The sequence below is a fragment of the Homo sapiens genome, chromosome 4 (genome assembly GCF_000001405.40).
Source record: "Homo sapiens chromosome 4, GRCh38.p14 Primary Assembly".
Taxonomy (NCBI): Eukaryota; Metazoa; Chordata; class Mammalia; order Primates; family Hominidae; genus Homo; species Homo sapiens.
In genome coordinates, this window is record NC_000004.12 from 135103447 (window position 1) to 135123933 (window position 20487).

The following is a 20487-nucleotide window of genomic DNA, read 5'->3' on the forward strand; positions in this document are numbered from 1 at the left end:
GCAACATTTTATTGATAAAGCCGGTCACTTTGGCCTAATGAGATTGAAGAGTGGGGGGAGAAGAATTAGACTCCACCTCTCAGTAAAAATTGTACCAGAAATTTTGTGTTACCATTAAAGTACCTCTGCGAACAAAGTATTAATATTTACATTTCTCCTGCATGCAATATTCCCCTTTTATAAGTCTCTAGAATCTTTCATCCTATTACAACATTTCCTCAAAGTCCAATATCTCAGCCTCTAAATTATCTGATTTAAAGAGAATCAATGAATATAGTTCCATAAATATAATTATTCTCAATCTTCAGAAACAAGTTGCCTACACTCTTTTCGTGGGTGCATACCTGACCTCATCATATAATGATTTCTAATAAGTATAACTTTCATTAACATCAGATTAAAAAGTAAGAAAATAGTAGGCAGTGATTGATCTGCAGCAGTTCTAAAATCCTGTGGGGCGCATGTTGCCAGTTAAAGGAAACTCTAGGAATGGTTCTTCAAGTTATTTGATTCCACTGTAGACTCTTTGTCCTTTTTCCTGAGACCTTCTAATTATTTTTCTGAAGGAAATAACCCATGTTTCCAATCAAGTAAACTTCTTAGTTTACTTCCCGCCCATAGATGTTTGGGGACCCCAATGATTGTTTTAAATTTGCAATTTATTTATCTCCATAAAAGCTTGTGTTACTTTTGTCAATATGATTCTCTTAAAAACTCACAGGGTTCCTCTGAAACTTACTGGGATTCACTCTGTTAGAGGATGACATGTCCAAAATCCCTTTGAGACAGGACTCACTGGCATAGTGTAACAATTAGATTATTGTGAGACAATTATCTTAAAAAACTTTTTAAAACTATTTTTTGCTTTATTTATAGTGTTTATTGCCATAAAATTGTTTGTTAAGGCTTAATACAGAATTGCCCAGCAATACTCTTAATATGATCTTAACCTGAGTCCATTTCTTATTTTGAGACCCTACTGCCATCTAAAAAAATTGGAAATAATTTTTTCTTATAAAATCTGTCAAAGTTTTCTTTATTTATCTTTCTTCTACATTTTTCTTGAAAACTGAACTGTTTAATTTTCTATCTCTTCTATCTTTCTTCACATACTTTACACAGCTAAAAGAAACCAGTTGGTATTTTAAACCAGCTGCTTTGATATCTCCATAGCCAAATCTAGTTTTTCATTATTTACATTTTCTATTTACCACATTACTGCAAGTGACAGAATTGCTATAAATGGTCCCACTACCTAACAAGGTTAATCTTTATTTCTTTTTTTTCTACCAGCAACAGTTGTCTTCTTTCTTTGTCAGCATTTCCCATAGTGTCTCATAATTTTTCTTCTTCCACTAATAGTCTCCTTAAGATACTCATTTTTACTTACAATTCACTTAAGACTTTCCAGAATCCATATCTCAACACAACAAATCATAAAAATTTGCTGCCATATTTACTCTACAATGTAAACTATGAGTTCAAAAAATTGCAGACTCCTTAATTGTTCTTTAAATACTCTGTCACTGGATAGGACCCCCAGGAATCAGACTCTGAGGTGAAGGCAGAGGGATTATTAAGGAGTGTTTTTGAAATAAACATCTGTGGAAGGGAAAAGAAGGAAGCAAAAATTAGTGGAGGTAGAAGTTGAACTGTGATACAATATCAACCAATGTTTCAGATAACACTTCAGAGTTCAGAAAATGGTTTGAATCTTGATATGGTTTGGCTCTGTGTCCCTACCCAAATCTCATCTTAAATTGTAATCCCCGTGTGTCAAGGGAGGGACCTAGTGGGAGGTGAATGGATCATGGGGGTGGTTTCCACCATGCTGTTCTCATATGGTGAGTGAGTTCTCACAAGACCTGATGGTTTAAAAGAGTGTGGCAGTTCCCCCACACCCCTCTCCTGCCATCTTGTGAAGAAGGTGCTTGCTTTTCCTTCACCTTCCACCATGATTGTAAGTTACCTGAAGCCTCGCCAGCCATGCAGAACTGTGAGTCAATTAAACCATCTTTCTTTATAAATTACCTAGTCTCAGGTAGTTCTTTATAGCAGTGTGAAGATGGACTAATACAAATATTTTGTGCTACTGCTAGTTAATAAAGCCAAGGGTTATCTGCCAGAAACACTACCATCAACTGTGGTAATAAGTTATTTACTCCTGAAATAGGTACTTGCAGCCCACCACATGTACACCATTGAGAACATACCTACCACATAATTTTTCTGAAGAGACAAAAGTGCTACTCTATAAAATACTCAGCAATCATGATTGAAAAGGTAATAATAAACTAAGGCAACAGGTACTAAAAGTGCAACATCTTTTTTCAGAATACATAGAATTCAAAATACAAAGTAGGATTTACAGGTTCAAAAATCAATTTTTCTCTATCTATCATACTAATTGTGGTATCAATTACTATAATGTACCTACCTAATCTATTTAAAAATACTTTATTCATGAACTCCAGTTAAGTGAGGCGGTGAAGAAGATCAGATTTTTTTCCTTATTGGCATTAAAAAACTGCATTAAGAATTGCTATATATTACTTTTGCTAAGTTATCTTTTTAAAAAGTGTAAAGATAGTGATGAGTACACAAATATAAAAAGCATTCTTAATATGTTATTTTGTTTCCTTCTGTTTTCTTTTCATTAAGTCTAAGGTGCCTAAGTAGAGAGTTGCTAAACAATAAACAGCTGATGTAGTTTGTAAATTGACTAGATGAACTGTGGTATTAGTCAATTTGTGTAATATATGAAGGAAAAAATTTTTAAAAGTTACAATCTGGAAATGGCATTATTACTTTTTGTTCAGAGAAGTGGTCAAATATTTTTTAAGAAAGCACTTGCATAATTTCACATGTAACTCTACTGTAGCCAAAGACTCTTATTACAAATTTGTGTAACGACTGAAATATCTTTTGGGCAAGAAGACTGTTAAAATAAATCAATATGATACTTCAGCTTGTTAGAGGTAAAAAAAAATAACATGCTAAGGAATAAAAGCTAACTTTGTATATAGTATCAAATTATAATTTTCTTTTTTATAAATACACGTGTGTGTGTTTAAAATTAGAAAGTGAGGTTATTTTAAAATACTGGAAGTGATATAACCAATTAACTAGTTGCTCTTTACAGTGTAATTTTTTGTGTTTTCCATCTTCAGCTGCAATTAATATCTTTAATGTCATTATAGATGTTAATTTTCAGTATAATGAGTGGTTTAATTTTGAAAATATATAAAATATTTCGCAGTTAAATCCAGAGAATAATATATCAAGAATCCAAGTATATCTGTCTCACAGTCTAGTGAGAGAGAAATACAGAAGTAGTAGTGGACTTTGTTTTTGCACTCAACTAGCATACTACTAGGGCCCTGTGCACTCCTCCACCTTTCCTTCTCTAGGCAGCTTGTTCTGTTTCCTGGCAGAATGGCTCATTTCCATAGCTGTGAGTACCCAGCCACCAATGCCACAATGGTTCTACAGGCCTAGGAGTCTTACTTATGTTCAATTACAGGAAAACTCAGTGTGTACTCTACTGCGGGAGGGGTGTGTTGAGGATGGATGCATTGGCTTCCCTAATGGCTGCCAGGAAGGGTCAGATCAAGAACCTAGAAATTCAGGGAAGTTAAGACCCCCTAGGAGAGAGTGACTAGTGAGATGCTGCATTCCAGAAAGATCTGAAAGTTAAACAGACTGCCCCTCCTCTCTTGTGTTTGGAGATGCAGGGATTCCATGTGGTCTCACTGGAGATGTCCCACATGATCTATCATGAGCAGGGTTTTGTGAAGCTATGACCAGCTCATTAGTGTGTCACCTTATATTTGTTTGTTGTGGTTTTATTCCTTTCCCTAGTTTGCTTTCTTCTCACTCTTACCTGTTTTCCTAGGAACTCAGACTAACAAAGGTAGATAATCAGAATATTTCTACGTTTCTTAAAAATGACTGTTTTGAAGTAAAATGCTGCCTTACATTTTAAAATTCTTGACTTTTGTGTTTTAAAAAAGCACCCATACTTTGTAGCCACACACACACACCTATATAATTGTATCAAACTACGATTGCATATTTCAAGCAGCTTTTCTAGTTTTCAGAATACATCAATAATAAGTGTATGATAATTCTTGTGGGAAGTAGTAAAAGAAATAATATTCACTGTAGACAAGAATCTTTAAATATTCAAATGAGTAATATGGATGTTTCTTTTATGATCATAACCTACATGTATAAACTTGTAACCTACGTGAGATCAGGGAAGCTGCTAACCTTAATAACTTTTTTTGTGCCTAAAAAGGTGTCTGGCACATAGTAGAGACAATACATTAAATAAATAAATAAAGCAGCTTAAAGATGTGGTGTCATATCAATGACTTCAATTCTCATTCACTGATTGTTTCCATTAATCAAGCTTTGTTTGGAAAAGTCAAAACAAATGATATATCAGTAATTCTAATTTGGTTATTTGGGTATTTGGTTGATTTACATTGAGGTTAATACAATGTGAACAGTATTACAGAGAGTAATCACTTCCTTCTTATCACATTCCTAAAAATACTGATTTTATAAATCTTAGTATTATTGACTTCCATAAAATTAGTTTTTCTGTGCTGAGAATTGATATTTCTAAGTCTGTTTCTTTCTTGTATTTCTGTCCATAGATTCTAAGACTTCTACTGAATCCTGAATATGTGACTTTTAGGCAAACTAGGTCACAAAAACTTTTGAGACTTACCACCATGCATAACAATGTTTAGCTATTTCTCAAATTCAAAATTAATGTAACAGGGTTAAATGCAAATATGCTTTAGGAAAAAAAATTTTTAATTAACAGTTTAATAATGAATGATGATAAAATGACACCTACTTTTTATTTCCCTGAATAACACACTGGCGCTCCTGTGTTTCAAATCTAAAAATCTTGTCATTTGATAAAGGCATTCAATTCCTTAATTGAATTTGTGTCACTTCACTGAAAGGAGATAACTGTAAATTAGAGAGCAATATTTTTAAAAAAGCATGATGATTATGTTGAAATTTTAAAAGTTAATATTCATTCAGAGTTTGAAATATAGTTCATTTTTTATAAAGGAATGCTATTAAGCTTTATTCCTTAAATGTTTTATTTCCACAAATAAATTGAATTGTTATATGCAAATATACACTCAGATATCTAAATTAATACATGTTCTTTTTTTATGTTCAAGTCTTTTTTATTATTATTATACTTTAAGTTTTAGGGTACATGTACACAACGTGCAGGTTTGTTACATATGTATACATGTGCCATGTTGGTGTGCTGAACCCATTAACTCATCATTTACATTAGGTATATCTCCTAATGCAATGCTATCACTCCCCACTCCCCCCCACCCCACAACAGGTTCCAGTGTGTGATGTTCCCCTTCCTGTGTCCAAGTGTTCTCGTTGTTCAATTCCCACCTATGAGTGAGAATATGCGGTGTTTGGTTTTTTGTCCTTGCGATAGTTTGCTGAGAATGATGGTTTCCAGCTTCATCCATGTCCCTAAAAGAACATGAACTCATCCTTTTTATGGCTACATAATATTCCATGGTGTATATTTGCCACATTTTCTTAATCCAGTCTATCATTTTTGGACATTTGGGTTGGTTCCAAGTCTTTGCTATTATGAATAGTGCTGCAATAAACATTCGTGTGCATGTGTCTTTATAGCAGCATGATTTATAATCCTTTGGGTATATACCCAGTAATGGGATGGCTGGGTCAAATGGTATTTCTAGTTCTAGATCCCTGAGGAATTGCCACACTGACTTCCACAATGGTTGAACTAGTTTACAGTCCCACCAACAGTGTAAAAGTGTTCCTATTTCTCCACATCCTCTCCAGCGCCTGTTGTTTCCTGACTTTTTAATGAGTGGTTTTGATTTGCATTTCTCTGATGGCCAGTGATGATGAGAATTTTTTCATGTGTCTGTTGGCTGCATAAATGTCTTCTTTTGAGAAGTGTCTGTTCATATCCTTTGCCCACTTTTTGATGGGGTTGTTTGATTTTTTCTTGTAAATTTGTTTGAGTTCTTTGTAGGTTCTCGATATTAGCCCTTTGTCAGATGAGTAAACTGCAAAAATTTTCTCCCACTCTGTAGGTTGCCTGATGGTAGTTTCTTTTGCTGTGCAGAAGCTCTTCAGTTTAATTACATCCCATTTGTCAATTTTGGCTCTTGTTACCATTGCTTTTGGTGTTTTAGACATGAAGTCCTTGCCCATGCCTATGTCCTGAATGGTATTGCCTAGGTTTTCTTCTAGGGTTTTTGTGGTTTTAGGTCTAACATTTAAGTCTTTAATCCATCTTGAATTAATTTTTGTATAAGGTGTAAGGAAGGGATCCAGTTTCAGCTTTCTACGTATGGCTAGCCAGTTTTCCCAGCATCATTTATTAAATAGGGAATCCTTTCCCCATTTCTTGTTTTTGTCACGTTTGTCAAAGATCAGATAGTTGTAGATGTGTGGCATTATTTCTGAAAGCTCTGTTCGGTTCCATTGGTCTGTGTCTCTGTTTTGGTTCCAATGCCATGCTGTTTTGGTTACTGTAGCCTTGTAGTACAGTTTGAATTCAGGTAGGATGATGCCTCCAGCTTTGTTCTTTTGGCTTAGGATTGACTTGGCAATGTGGGCTCTTTTTTGGTTCCATATGAACTTTAAAGTAGTTTTTTCCAATTCTGTGAAGAAAGTCATTGGTAGCTTGACGGGGATGGCATTGAATCTATAAATTACCTTGGGCAGTATGGCCATTTTGACGATATTGATTCTTCCTACCCATGAGCATGGAATGTTCTTCCATTTGTATCCTCTTTTATTTCATTGAGCAGTGGTTTGTAGTTCTTCTTGAAGAGGTCCTTCACATCCCTTATAAGTTGGATTCCTAGGTATTTTATTCTCTTCGAAGCAAGTGTGAATGGGAGTTCACTCATGATTTGGCTCTCTGTTTGTCTGTTATTGGTGTATAAGAATGCTTGTGATTTTTGCACATTGATTTTGTATCCTGAAACTTTGCTGAAGTTGCTTATCAGCTTAAGGAGATTTGGGGCTGAGACGATGAGGTTTTCTAGATATACAACCATGTCTTCTGCAAACAGGGACAATTTGACTTCCTCTTTTCCTAATTGAATACCCTTTATTTCCTTCTCCTACCTGATTGCCCTGGCCAGAACTTCCAACACTATGTTGAATAAGAGTGGTGAGAGAGGGCATCCCTGTCTTGCGCCAGTTTTCAAAGGGAATGCTTCCAGTTTTTGCCCATTCAGTATGATATTGGCTGTGGGTTTGTCATAAATAGCTCTTATTATTTTGAGATATGGCCCATCAATACCTAATTTTTTGAGAGTTTTTAGCATGAAGGGCTGTTGAATTTTTTCGAAGACCTTTTCTGCATCTATTGAGATAATCATGTGGTTTTTGTCTTTGGTTCTGTTTATATAGATTTGGTCTGTTCACATAGTCCTATATTTCTTGGAGGGTTTGTTCATTTCTTTTTATTCTTTTTTCTCTAAACTTCTCTTCTGGCTTCATTTCATTCATTTGATCTTCCATCACTGATACCCTTTCTTCCAGTAGATCAAATCAGCTACTAAAGCTTGTGCATTCGCCACGTAGTTCTCGTGCCATGGTTTTCAGCTCCATCAGTTCCTTTAATGACTTCTCTGCATTGGTTATTCTAGTTAGCCATGTGTCTAATCTTTTTTCAAGTATTTTAACTTCTTTGCTATGGGTTCGAACTTCCTCCTTTAGCTCGGAGAAGTTTGATCATCTGAAGCCTTCTTCTCTCAGCTCACCAAAATCATTCTCCATCCAGCTTTGTTCCATTGCTGGTGAGGAGCTGCGCTCCTTTGGAGGAGGAGAGGAGCTCTGAGTTTTAGATTTTTCGGTTTTACTGCTCTGTTTTTTCCCCATCTTTGTGGTTTTATCTACCTTTGGTCTTTAATGATGGTGACGTACAGATGGGTTTTTGGTGTGGATGTCCTTTCTGTTTGTTAGTTTTCCTTCTAACAGTCAGGACCCTCAGCTGCAGGTCTGTTGGAGTTTGCCAGAGGTCCACTCCAGACCCTGTTTTCCTGGGTATCAGCAGCGGAGGCTGCAGAACAGTGAATATTGGTGAACAGCAAATGTTGCTGCCTGATCGTTCCTCTGGAAGTTTTGTCTCAGAGGAGTACCTGGCCGTGTGAGGTGTCAGTCTGCCCCTACTGGAGGGGATGCCTCCCAGTTAGGCTACTCGGGGGTCAGGGACCCACTTGAGGAGGCAGTCTGCCCATTCTCAGATCTCAAGCTGCGTGCTAGGAGAACCACTACTGTCTTCCAGTCTGTCAGACAGGGACATTTAAGTCTGCAGAGGTTTCTGCTGTCTTTTGTTTGGCTATGCCCTGTCCCCAGAGGTGGAGTCTACAGAGGCAGGCAGTCCTCTTTGAGCTGCAGTGGGCTCCACCCAGTTCGAGCTTCCGGGCCACCTTGTTTACCTGCTCAAGCCTCAGCAATGGCGGGCACCCCTCCCCCAGCCTAGCTGCCACCTTGCAGTTTGATCTCAGACTGCTGTGCTAGCAATGAGCGAGGCTCCATGGGCGTAGGACCCTCCAAGCCAGGCGTGGGCTATAATCTCCTGGTGTGCCATTTGCTAAGACCATTGGAAAAGCAGAGTATTAGGGTGGGAGTGACCCGATTTTCCAGGTGCCATCTTTCACCCCTTTCCTTGGCTAGGAAAGGGAATTCCCTGACTGTTTGTGCTTCCCGGGTGAGGCGAGGCCTTGCCCTGCTTCGGCTCATGCTTGGTGCACTGCCCCCACTGTCCTGCACTCACTGTCCGACAATCCCCAGTGAGATGAACCCGGTACCGCAGTTGGAAATGCAGAAATCATCTGTCTTCTGCATCACTCACACTGGGAGCTGTAGACTGGAGCTGTTCCTATTCGGCCATCTTGGAACCCCTAAATTAATACATGTTCTTAAGTCAATATACACAAAATCGTTTTTAACTGTACACATAAAATCTTTCACAGAAGCTCTGGATCATTTGTAAGGCATATGAAAATCTTTCCACAAGTAATCATTTTTAAGTGCAAATCACAATCATTATGCCAAAGGAAATAATATCATCTGAATATATTATTTTCTTAAAATTTATCATGATGCTGTTTTTAATCATTGATTTAAAAGTTCAAGGAACAGAGAACATTGACAACCTTTATTTACGACACTTTCCCAACATCATTGAAATAAAAGTAAGGGGATTTTTATCTTTAAGAAAACAAGGGAAGGAGAGCATAAACCCATAGGAATAAAGCAAATGAAAAAGGACATACATGCAAATAATAAATGGTAATACATTTTGGGGAAGATGGACATCAGCTACAGGAATTATGAGTTTCTCAGGGGACTGAAAAGACCTACAACACAATGGGCTGAAGGGAGAGTTGCTTTAGAGAAAGAATTGTTTGCTCATTGGATTCCTGAAAGGCACAAACAGAGATTAAAGTTACCATTTGAGACGTATTGTGGAAATTGGTAGAGAGGCTGAATTTTTAGCGATTTAGTCAAAGTAATTTTGTAGTCTGGCTAGAAAAGCTGGTATCTCTCTAATTTCTATTTTGTAGGCAAGGAGCAGTGAACTGACATTTTCTGCAGAAGAAAGGGGCTGGACTCATCATTTGATGAAACTACGTAACATTGTTGTGTGAGTGAAGTGTTGGACTATTAAGGAGACAAATAGAAATTGCTATACTCCTTGGTGGATTCACCTCAGTCTCCTTTATTCTTTCTATTCCCAGAACATTAAAAGGCAGAGGGATTTCTTCTTTTCTTGTGAGAGATATTAAGTAGCACCTGTAAAAAGATATTCAAATACTTACATTTGAGGAGAATGGGACACACACAACAAAATTAGCTGATTGCTATCTGATCATTCTTCCATTCAGGGTTGTAAATATAACTCTGTGGTTATGTAGAGATTATTCTACTTTCATATTAATATTTAAAGTTTTTATTTATAAATTATAATACATATTAAATAACCATCCTGTTCTCCCACCTCTGTTGACCCACAGTATCTTGCTTTAGGCTTTTTAAAGTTCACACAGAAATCTGAAATTATTCTCTTCATGCATTTGCTTACTAGCTTATTGCCTCTACCCAATATGACGAAAACTGCATGAGTTATGGAGTTCTGCCTGCCTTGTTAATTGCCATAATACTAAATAGAGTGCATCTAGGGTGAGAAGAGGGGTGACAGTTTTTTGTGGATTTCCTAGATGAGCTAAAGATTTCTGGATGAGACTTGAATAAAGAGAAGAGACTGGTCTTGTAAGTATATGGGTAGCAGAGAGTTTAAAAATAAATAATGAAGAAACTAAAAAAGTCCTGGGACATGATCAAACAGATAAAAGGCTTGTATAGCTACAGTAGAGTGAACAAACTGGCAAAGGGCTTGAAACATGTAGGAAAGAAGTAAAACAGCTCATTTGGGCAGAAATTTCACAATAACAAAAGTCTTCAAGATTGGCCTGAGTTTATTGCCTTTTCTTTAAAATACTGTTATATCACATTATTACATTTATTACATTATTGCATTTGTTTTGGTACACTGCACTAGAATGTTTTGTTTATCAAAGATCTAGACAATCCAGACAATCGTGTTCCTTCTATTTTAAGAAGGTAAACACAAATATTTCACCATAATCTACGCCTTTTCCACCAATGTATTGTTGTGTATTCTATCCCCTTTTATAATACCTACTGGCACAGGATAATTTGGCAGTGACAACTTACAGTCATAATTTCACTTTCACATTTGAGGCAGTGTTAATAACAGGCATGCCCATCTCTAATTTTTAGTAGCAACATCAAATTGCAAGCTGGCACAGATTGTCAACAAAAAGTAACATTGTGACTTGCCAAGAGATACATGTTTCATGTGTTGCAGCAATGTGAAATTTATGTTCTAAGGAAGAGGCACACAGAGGTATCCAGATGGGATTAATTTAAGAACATAGAAAATTTTTATTTGGATTTTTAAAAGAGATAATATAAATTAAATGTATTCTGGTTGTTCAGGAGTCTTCCAGGCTATAAAGGGGAATATAGCCAATGACTATCTCGACCAATACTTTGGAATGGTCTGCTGCATGATGACTTGTGGTGGTCATCATAATAAATAACACTTCTTGTTCTGTATTGAACCACAACTTGTGATAAAAGTGAATCTACAGAGCATGCTGTGAACTTTACCTGACACTAGAAATTCCAGAAATACCACTCCAGGAGAAAGCTCCTCTGTCCATCCTCCATGCCGTGAGTCCCATCATTATTGTGATATACAGCATGTTGATCTCCAAAGCAGAATCTATCCTGGAGGCAATTAGCATAATAGTTTAATTTTGCTGCAAATCTCTGGAGCCAAATTTTAGCCATTCCCAATGTCCAATTTTACAGACTCAGGTACTGAAAAGGTTGACAAAGTGAACAGAAATAAAAGAGTTCACATCAAAGTCCATATCTAATGATATAAGCTTTGCCCTGAGGACTTGCTTGCCTTCTAGGGATAACATCAGAGCAATTGGAAGATTTTTGAGGTTTGGTATACTATCATGAAAATAAGAGACTCATCTATATCAATGTAATGCTGGGTCTTTCTACTTGGTGCATCCTTTTCATAACAGACCATACTAATAAAGAATTGTCCTGAGTGCAGTTGGTTCCATGCAAATATTTGTACTAGATGAAAATTTATAACTCTGGGAGTTTGACTTGTAAAGATAGATTCTGTTAATGCAAATTGTGATTCTAAAATCTCAGTCAAAAGAAAAAAAAATTGCCCTAGAGGCTGAGCTATCCAATTCCAATGATAAAATTCTTAGTTATTCTGTCCATTTTAGACTTTATAGTTTTCAGTATTCTTACCTTGAATGGAGTCTTTCAATAGCATAATACTAGGGAGGCAAAGTAGAAGAGTTCCATATTGAAGAGTAAAATTTCAATCAGTGAAAAATAACAAATATTTTATGACACTATAACATTCATGTATTCATTTAAAAAAACATTAAACTCATAAAATGAGTAAGGTGTATACTCTTGAAAACCTAAAAGCAGTAGAATAAAAACGACTTAAGATTTATTTAAATAATTTTAAAACACAGTGGAAAAAGACAACAGTAAGATATATACAAATGCAAATCTATGGCATTCCAGTATATGTATACTTTTTTTTTTTTGGCTGAAGAATCTGTGACAACTTCTGAAAGATGTAGTCACTGAATTAATTATTTAGGCAAAAGCCTAATCATACCTCATGCTTGAAGACCGACACATTTAGCAAATATGCCTATGAAGCTCATATAAAGCTAGTATAATTCACACTGAGTACATCTTTCCCCATCTCTATTGACACTTGCATTGTAACAAGAGTTACTGTGACTTCTGCAGTCCCTTTCTCTTTCTCTCTAAGATTTCACATCTGCATCAATTAATCGCCTTCACAAGATAGAATAAAATCCATGCACAGGCTTTTTTATCTGTTGGATCATGCTTCAGGATTTTTGTATTTGCTTTCCGATTTATCTTTGAGTTCTGGGCTTCACATTTATTTGCAAAACCAGCTTCTTCTCTTCATTCAGCTCTCAGTTCTAGTCACCTCAACTTAGAGATCTTCCTTAACAAACCACCACAAATTATCACCTATTCCTTCTACCCCAGTTGCACTCTATTCTTCTTTTAAAAAAAACATCAGAACATTAGAAATTATTTTTCTTATTCAGTTGTTACTTGTTTATTATATCTATCACCAAAGAATTAAAGTTTCATTTCATGTTTGTTCCTATTCATGACAACAGCATATAATACACAACTACTCATTAAAAAGTGTTTAATATCTATATATCTGCACACTCTCTCCATCATTTTTTTTCTTGAATTCTCCACTTCCCAGCCCTGTGCATACATTAAAAATTTCCTACTTTCCAAAATACATGTTTGGTAAGAGTATCAGCTTGCATACAATTTTGTAGGAAACAAATCTAAGAAGGCAAATAAACCAAATATGAAACTGATGAACTCATTCTTTACCTTTTCCTGAACAAAGTGAGGTATTACACAACAGAAAAGGGGATGGCCTTTGACATCAATCATACTAAGTTTGAACTTCACCTTTGCCTGCTGGGTAATTTGAAAAAGTTGGCCCATTTGAAACTCTGTCTTTCATCTAAAAAATGAAAAGTATGTAACAATATCTTTTTCAGCTGTGAAAATCAAATGAATTTGTTTACATAAAAGCATAGATAAAAAACTTTCTGATATATAGTTGATATTCAATAAAGACTTCCTTCTTTCCTCTTTTGCCTTATTCCCTCAGGCTAATCAAAATTCCAAACTAGACTAGAGTCAGAATTCTAATTTGCATTAGGCCTACACAGTGATGCGTAATAGGCCTGAAGGTAAACTATTTTGCCTTGGGCCTCCCAGGCAAGTATCATTTTAGATGACTGCCTCAGAAATGTTAGACTTACGAGAGGGAATGTTCCATTAAATTAATGCCTAAATCTTAATTTAAGAAAACTAATTGAATTGTGAAGAAAAAAGCTACTGCTTAAATGTCTTTGGTTTTGGAAGATATAAAGCAAGTGTAAAAATGTTTCGTGAAATCATCAACATCCTTGAAATTTCCAAGTGTATTTTTCCACAGTAAAAAGCTACACTTTCTTTTAATTATTTTATAGTCTTCCATATATTTGAATGTTACCTTTCTTAATTGAAACTAATGTGTTTGTTTTTCTTACTCAATCTCAAAAGACATTTATCTATTGTATTCTTCACGTCAAATAAAATAAGCTTTCGGATTGTATTTGTCTTTCAAAAGAGTTTACTGGTTTTCTATTTTATTAATTTCAAATTTTAGTTTTGTTTTCCCCTTTTCTTACTTTTTGGTTTCCTTTGTTGTTATATTTTTCTTTTTGGTCAAGTTTATTAAGATAAATACTCAGGTATTTCTTCTTTAATAATGATGATCTGTATTAGCTGATTGTCTAATTAGCTTTATCCAAAAGAAAAATAAATTTCTTACATATCTTATATTTTATATATTATGACAAAAGGTAGTTTTGCAACTTGGAGGAAGGTGCTGATGGAATTTAGGCTCCTACCCTTCTGTAGAAACTAGGAGATAGAGGCTTCATTTTCCTTGATCATTAAATTAAAAAGAAAAGAATTCCTTGAGAAAGAAATTCCTATGTGTAAATTTGGCAAGATGATTATTTAGCTTTTATGAAAATTTCCATACATTTCAAAGAGAAAAAGTAAAGGAATTGTAATTACAAAAGTTTTCTAAAATAAATGCTGTAAGAAAATTAAGTAAGTTGGAGTCTCCTCTACTATTTTCAGTCAACAGAATTAATCCTCTTTTTTTAAATTTGTATTTGCAATTATGAAAGAAAGAGTTTCTAGGTGAAAAGCTTTTTCAGGCACACAGCTTTGCCAGGAGGCTTGCTATCTGCCTCCAAACTCCAAGCATTTAAAGCCTTGGGTGAGACATTAATTGAATTTGATCTAAGGAGTAAAGAAGCATGGATTCACTGGAGCTTCCATCTTTCCAGCATTATTGAAACTGACCCCAGGAAAAGAGGAAATGTGTTACACATATTGCGTGGTGAAACCCAACAGAAAAGTATGTAAAAAGGTATCACTAAAAGGAGGCAGGAAGATATGTCCCTTAGTCTAATAGGTTAGATAAAGGACAGAGCCTGATACCTGATTTTTTTTTTTTTTTTTTTTTTTTTTTTACAAGCACTATAGCTTGGAGGATTCTGACACAAGTGTGCTGGGAGGTACATTTTGAGAAACACTCCACTAAGACATTGAGAACTTCAGGAAGATAGAATGTGTGAAATTTTATCTCAGATACAACAACCTATTGGCCAAACATACAAGGGAGGACAAAAATGAGAAGGTAAACATGAAGCTCAAGTAAGGAAAATCTAGACTTAGAAGCTGGCAAAATATGAACATGTCCATGCGATAATAGATTCAAAAATGTACAAAAATGATCTATAGAAACTTTTAGTCCTCTTCTTTATCTCCGTAGCATTTAATAGTGCTTAATATCATTATCTTTTCAAACATTACCTCTCCACTTTCAACACTTTAACAATGTACGTGCTTTTTATAATTTCTTTTTGATATTTCTGCTCCTTTTTCTTATTGTTTTTTAAGTATTCCTTGCCCATAAACATAGGCATCATCCAAGGCTAACTTTCTAGGTATCTTAAATTTCTTCCTCAAAATAACGATATCCAATAATAAATTAATTTCTGTTAATAAGTTTCATGGAGATTTTCATCAATGGTATTGTCATTAGCCACGGCGACCATCTGTTTCTTTGACACTTTGATGGATAACACACAATGTAGGTTCAAAAAAAATGTCCAGGGAGCCAAATATGTGATTAATATGTAAGTTATGTACTCTGATGTTGCAGAAAGGAAGAAATTTAAGTAAAAATGAATGTGGGTAGTAGATTTCAGAAAAGTTTTCAAGTGTCAAGGAAGAAGACGTGCACAAAGACTAGGAATCCAAGATAAAAGTGTTAAATGATGAGCTTCTATAAAAGAGTTGAGAATATTGCTTGGAGGTTAGGAGTGGCATCTATAATGAAAGGAATGTGAATAATTTTTTATTAATTGTTAAATTATTAACATTAACAACTATTTTTTATTATTTTTAAAGTTATTATTTTAGAACCAATTATTATGTTCTGGTATTGTGAAAATTTCTTTTGTATTCTTAATCTCATTTAAATCTCACCTTTGTAGAAGAACTAATACTATTTTCACTTTACACATGAAAAAGCTGTGGTTGGAGGGACAGTCCCAGCCCCTGTAAGAATACTTTGCTAGGTGCTTACTCTCTCTCTCTCTCTTTTTTTTTTCTAGTTGTTAAATGCTTTGTGGATAATTATTTTTAAAAGCAAGAACTAGATGGTCAAGTATCAGAGCCTTTCATTTCTCAGACTGCCAAAGATGTGATCTGTAATGTGCCATCTATTAAGAGTTAAACTCAATTTTTACAAGATTGTGCCTAGCTTAAAAATTCTATGAATCTATAATTTTTAAAAGCAAACTTACTTAAAGGCTTTATATTATTTGATTTATTTGCTTAAGGCAGTGTACGTCCTAATATTGTTTAGTACTTTCACACAGAAATGCTATATTGTGTATATTCTGAATTTGATTCTGCCCAACTATGCCCACACAGTAGTAATTTGAAATGATTCTATGGATGTGGTGGGATAGTAATGTTTCAGGACCTGGTTTCAAAAGTAAGTCTCTAGGAATCAAAGCCCCAAATTAAAATCTAGTAGCACCTTCCACCCTTCAGTTTTCCCATAAAATATCCATTATGATTCTCACACATCAGAAATACAGAATCAAGCCTTTAGGAAAGTCAAGAGTCACCAAAGTTTTTGTTTTTAACTTTTGTATTGACTTTAATGTATAACTATTCCACTAGTAGGCTTGAAGAAACCCAGTCCATTTTTCTATTTTAATCATCATATGATCAATAAATGATCCTAGGGTTAATTAACTGTCTGCTTGGTTATTTATGTATTTATTCTTGATCTATAGATGCTCTTCAACTTCCCATGGAGTTATGAATGGATAAACCCATCGTAAACTGAAAATATCATTAAGTTGAAAATTCATTTAAAGCATCTAACCTACTGAATGTCACAGCTTAGCTTAACCTACCTTAAATGTGCTTAGAACACTTACATTAGCCAACATTTGTGAAAATCATCTAATAGAAAGCCGATTTCATAATAAAGTCTATGAATATCTCATAGACTTTCTTGATACACTGCACTGTAGAGTACAGTATCAGTTATTTAGCATCATGAACTGCAGCTCACTACCATTGCCCAACATCACTAGAAAGAATTGCGTTGCATATCGCTAGCCTGGGAAAAGATCCAAATTCCAAGTATAATTTCTGTGAAATGCCTTTAACTTTCACATCCCACTGTTAGAAAACTGTAAGTCAAGCCATCGTAAGTCAGGGACTGTCTGTATTTGTTTTTTTTTTCTCTCTTTACTATGCATTTATGCTGTTTTTATCCTTTAAATTACTGAAACTTGCTTACTAACTGATAGATGTTGGGCCACTCTACTGATAAGGCTTTCTATTTTTAAATATGCTTTCGGCACGCACACAAAAAAATGACATGAAAGTCTCCTTTCTGTTCCAGAAATGGACAACAGTCCAGGAGAAAATTATTACGCGATATATACTATACAAGATTTTTAAGATCATTAATATGTTATATTTGAAGAAAGATAGACAAGAACTTGAGCTACGGAAGATAATAAACCATGGTGTTTGCATTTGTTTGTTCTTGAGGTAATTTGTATCCTGCTGTGATGCCCAGAGCCCAAACCACAATTACTGTAAACAACATAAGTGGATATTGTTCTTATACAATAATTGCTAGTTACGTATGAGAAAACTGAGAATGTGAAAAAAAATGAATATTTCAATGGGAAACAGTAGATATAATGGTTTCATTTTTATGATTACAAATAATTACCAGTAACTATTAAGTCAAAGGCAAGCTGCAGATATATTTGAAATGTGAAACCCTGCAAACAATTGTCCTGGTGTGGTTTTAGATTGTGCTTTTCTGTTTTTATTCTCTATTAAAGAAGAGATCTGGCTGGGCGTGGTGGCTCACACTTGTAATCCCAGCATTTTGGGAGGCCGAGTCCGGTGGATTACCTGAGGTCAGGAGTTCGAGACCAGCCTGGCCAACATGATGAAACCCTGTCTCTTCTAAAAATACAAAAATTAGCCAGGCATGGTGGTGGGCATCTGTAGTCTCAGATACTCAGGGAAGCTGAGGCAGGAGAATTGCTTGAATTCGGGAGGCAGAGGTTGAAGTGAGCCGAGATTGTGCCATTACATTCCAGCCTGGCAACAGAGCGAGACTCTGTCTAAAAAAAAAAAAAAAAAAAAGAGAGAGAGAGAAGAAGAAGAAAAAGAAGAGATCCAAGTCATTTCATGAACCAGGTTAGTAGAGGCATTTGATTCTCTTTTCATTTTGGTAACTTGAGTCACCAGCATTTTGGGTCTCAGGACTGAATCCTTTATTTTCCCCGTTCCGGTTACCCCATAATGCTTACCCTGTTTTCTTATTTTCATGCTTAAATTATTCCTCTCTTCAGTAGAAAGCATTCTGACATCTCATTCTGCCTTAAGTCAGCATCAGAAACTCATTGATTTTTGTTATTTTTGTTTTTGTTTTTGTTTTGTTTTGTTTTGTTTTCTTTTGAGAAGGAGTCCCACTCTGTCTTCCAGGCTGGAGTGCAATGGCACAATCTCAGCTCACTGCAACCTCCGACTCCCAAGTTCAAGTGATTCTTTTGCCTCAGCCTCCTGAATACCTGGGATTACAGGCACCCACCACCGTGCTTGGCTAATTTTTTGGTATTTTTAATAGAGATGCGGTTTTGCCATGTTGGCCAGGTTGGTCTGGAACTCCTGACCTCATGTGATCCACCCACCTCGGCCTACCAAAGTGCTGGGATTATAGACATGAGCCACTGCACCCAGCCCTCATTTATTCTTTCACAAATATTTTTATTCCACTTCTCTGCATCAGTTCCTGTGCCGAGAAGTGAGGATACATATTGAACAAGACTTCCATGATCCCTTTTCTTATAGAGTTTAGAGTTCATTGGAGAAAAAAGTAACGTTAAGCTAGTAATATTCATAAAGTGTGATAAGGGGTAGAGTAAGGGAAGTACAAACATAATGTGTGGAACTCATCTTGTTAAAGTCAAATAATGCCCCTTAAAAAATAAATGTTTAGGGTGAGATGTGAGGGATATGTTGGAAAGAAGATGTAGTAAAATGTAATAGGTATTGAAAACCTATGAAAATATCTTCAAATGAGGGTTAGTTTAGTATATTTAGACAATTATGTTGGGATTCACTCAGGATGGTGGCAGAAGTATTAAAAGGAAATATTAGGGAGAGTTATAGGGAATAGTCATAAACTTTTCGGAAGGCTCAAAGGTTACATAGCTTGTAATAATTGAACAGGCTGAAGGCAGCCGGTTCTTACCTTAGAGCATTAGGTCATAGGTTAAATACTAGGGACAATAGAGCCTTCCCCAGTTAAGTCTGTTTACTCTACCTCCATTAACTAACCTTTGAGCCAGATGGCCCTCTCAGGTGGAGGTCAACCAAGGATATTCCCCCTAATGGTATTTTCCTTAGACTGTGGTACCTGAGCTTTAATCATTCCTAGAACTACTCTCTTAACCATTTTAATTATCCACAAGTGTGTTTACTCAAAGCTTCTGTTGTTAATTGTATACTAAATAAATGCCTGGAATGAGAGCTGCTCAGGACCAGTGCAGCGACAAACCTCTCTTGTTGTGCAGGCAGTCGGACACTCAGCAGGACTGGCAAAGCAGAATATCTGTGTGTTAGTGTATGTTTTATTCATCCACTGTTTGGGTCAGGGTCTGTAGGCAATACCTCAGAATTAAAATAGAGTGATTGTACTTTATTCTAAAACAAATGATAAATCATTAAAAATGTTAGGAAGTAAAATTATTGATCAAGACTGAATGTGTATGGAAATGGTTTGGAGTCAGAGTGATAAGATAACACATGCAGAGGCCCAGCACGGTGGCTCATGCCTGTAATCCCAGCACTTTGGGAGGCCAAGGCGGGCAGATCACCTGAGGTCGGGAGTTTGAGACCAGCTTGACCAACATAGAGAAACCCCGTCTCTACTAAAAATACAAAAATTAGCTGGCATGGTGGCACATACATGTAATCCCAGCTACTCGGGAGGCTGGGGCAGAAGAATCACTTGAACCCGGGAGGCCAAGGTTGCAGTGAGGCAAGATCATGCCATTGCACTCCAGCCTGGGCAACAAGAGCGAAATTACGTCTCAAAAAACAAAAACCAAAAAAAAAAAAAAAAGAAAGAAAGAAAACACATGAAGCTACTCACGTAGCATTGATGGACACGTCTCAAGGTCTTGCTCCTACGGCTGCTTGCAGACTGCTCCTCTCCCATCCTCTTGTGACTCTGGAAAAATTTTTTTTTGAGGCTTAAGCCATGGGCTACCCATCGTATAGTGCTTGTTGTCTGTATTCTTCACCTACTTTCAGACTTTCAGCCCCTTACAATCATGGAAGTCTAAATATTTGTCACAGTCTTCCCCATTTACAAATTCTGCTATTTTTCTTAGCATTTAAAGTTGTGTAAGTTTTACCTGGATAAGAAGACAGGAAGAGTTGCTTGTACTGAAACAGGGATTGCAAGCTTCTTGTAATTTGTGCATTTGCATGAGGTTGCATCAGCTCAGAGCAAGGTCTGCTTTTTTGCCAAGCGGAGAAGCATTTTATAATTCATACTTCCAGCAGGAATAACTCTCCTCTAAGCCATACAAAGATGTTTTA

General features: G+C 35.9%; 1 long non-coding RNA gene across 1 annotated transcript; it reads right to left on the reverse strand.

The window, feature by feature from the left end:
• Positions 1-9638: 9638 nt before the first annotated feature.
• On the reverse strand, positions 9639-20113 carry LINC02485 (long intergenic non-protein coding RNA 2485). The gene is made up of 3 exons (NR_147187.1): positions 20036-20113; positions 11254-11373; positions 9639-9852 (listed from the first exon to the last, which is right to left on the reverse strand). It is a non-coding gene; the product is annotated as a long intergenic non-protein coding RNA 2485 (long non-coding RNA).
• Positions 20114-20487: the final 374 nt, after the last annotated feature.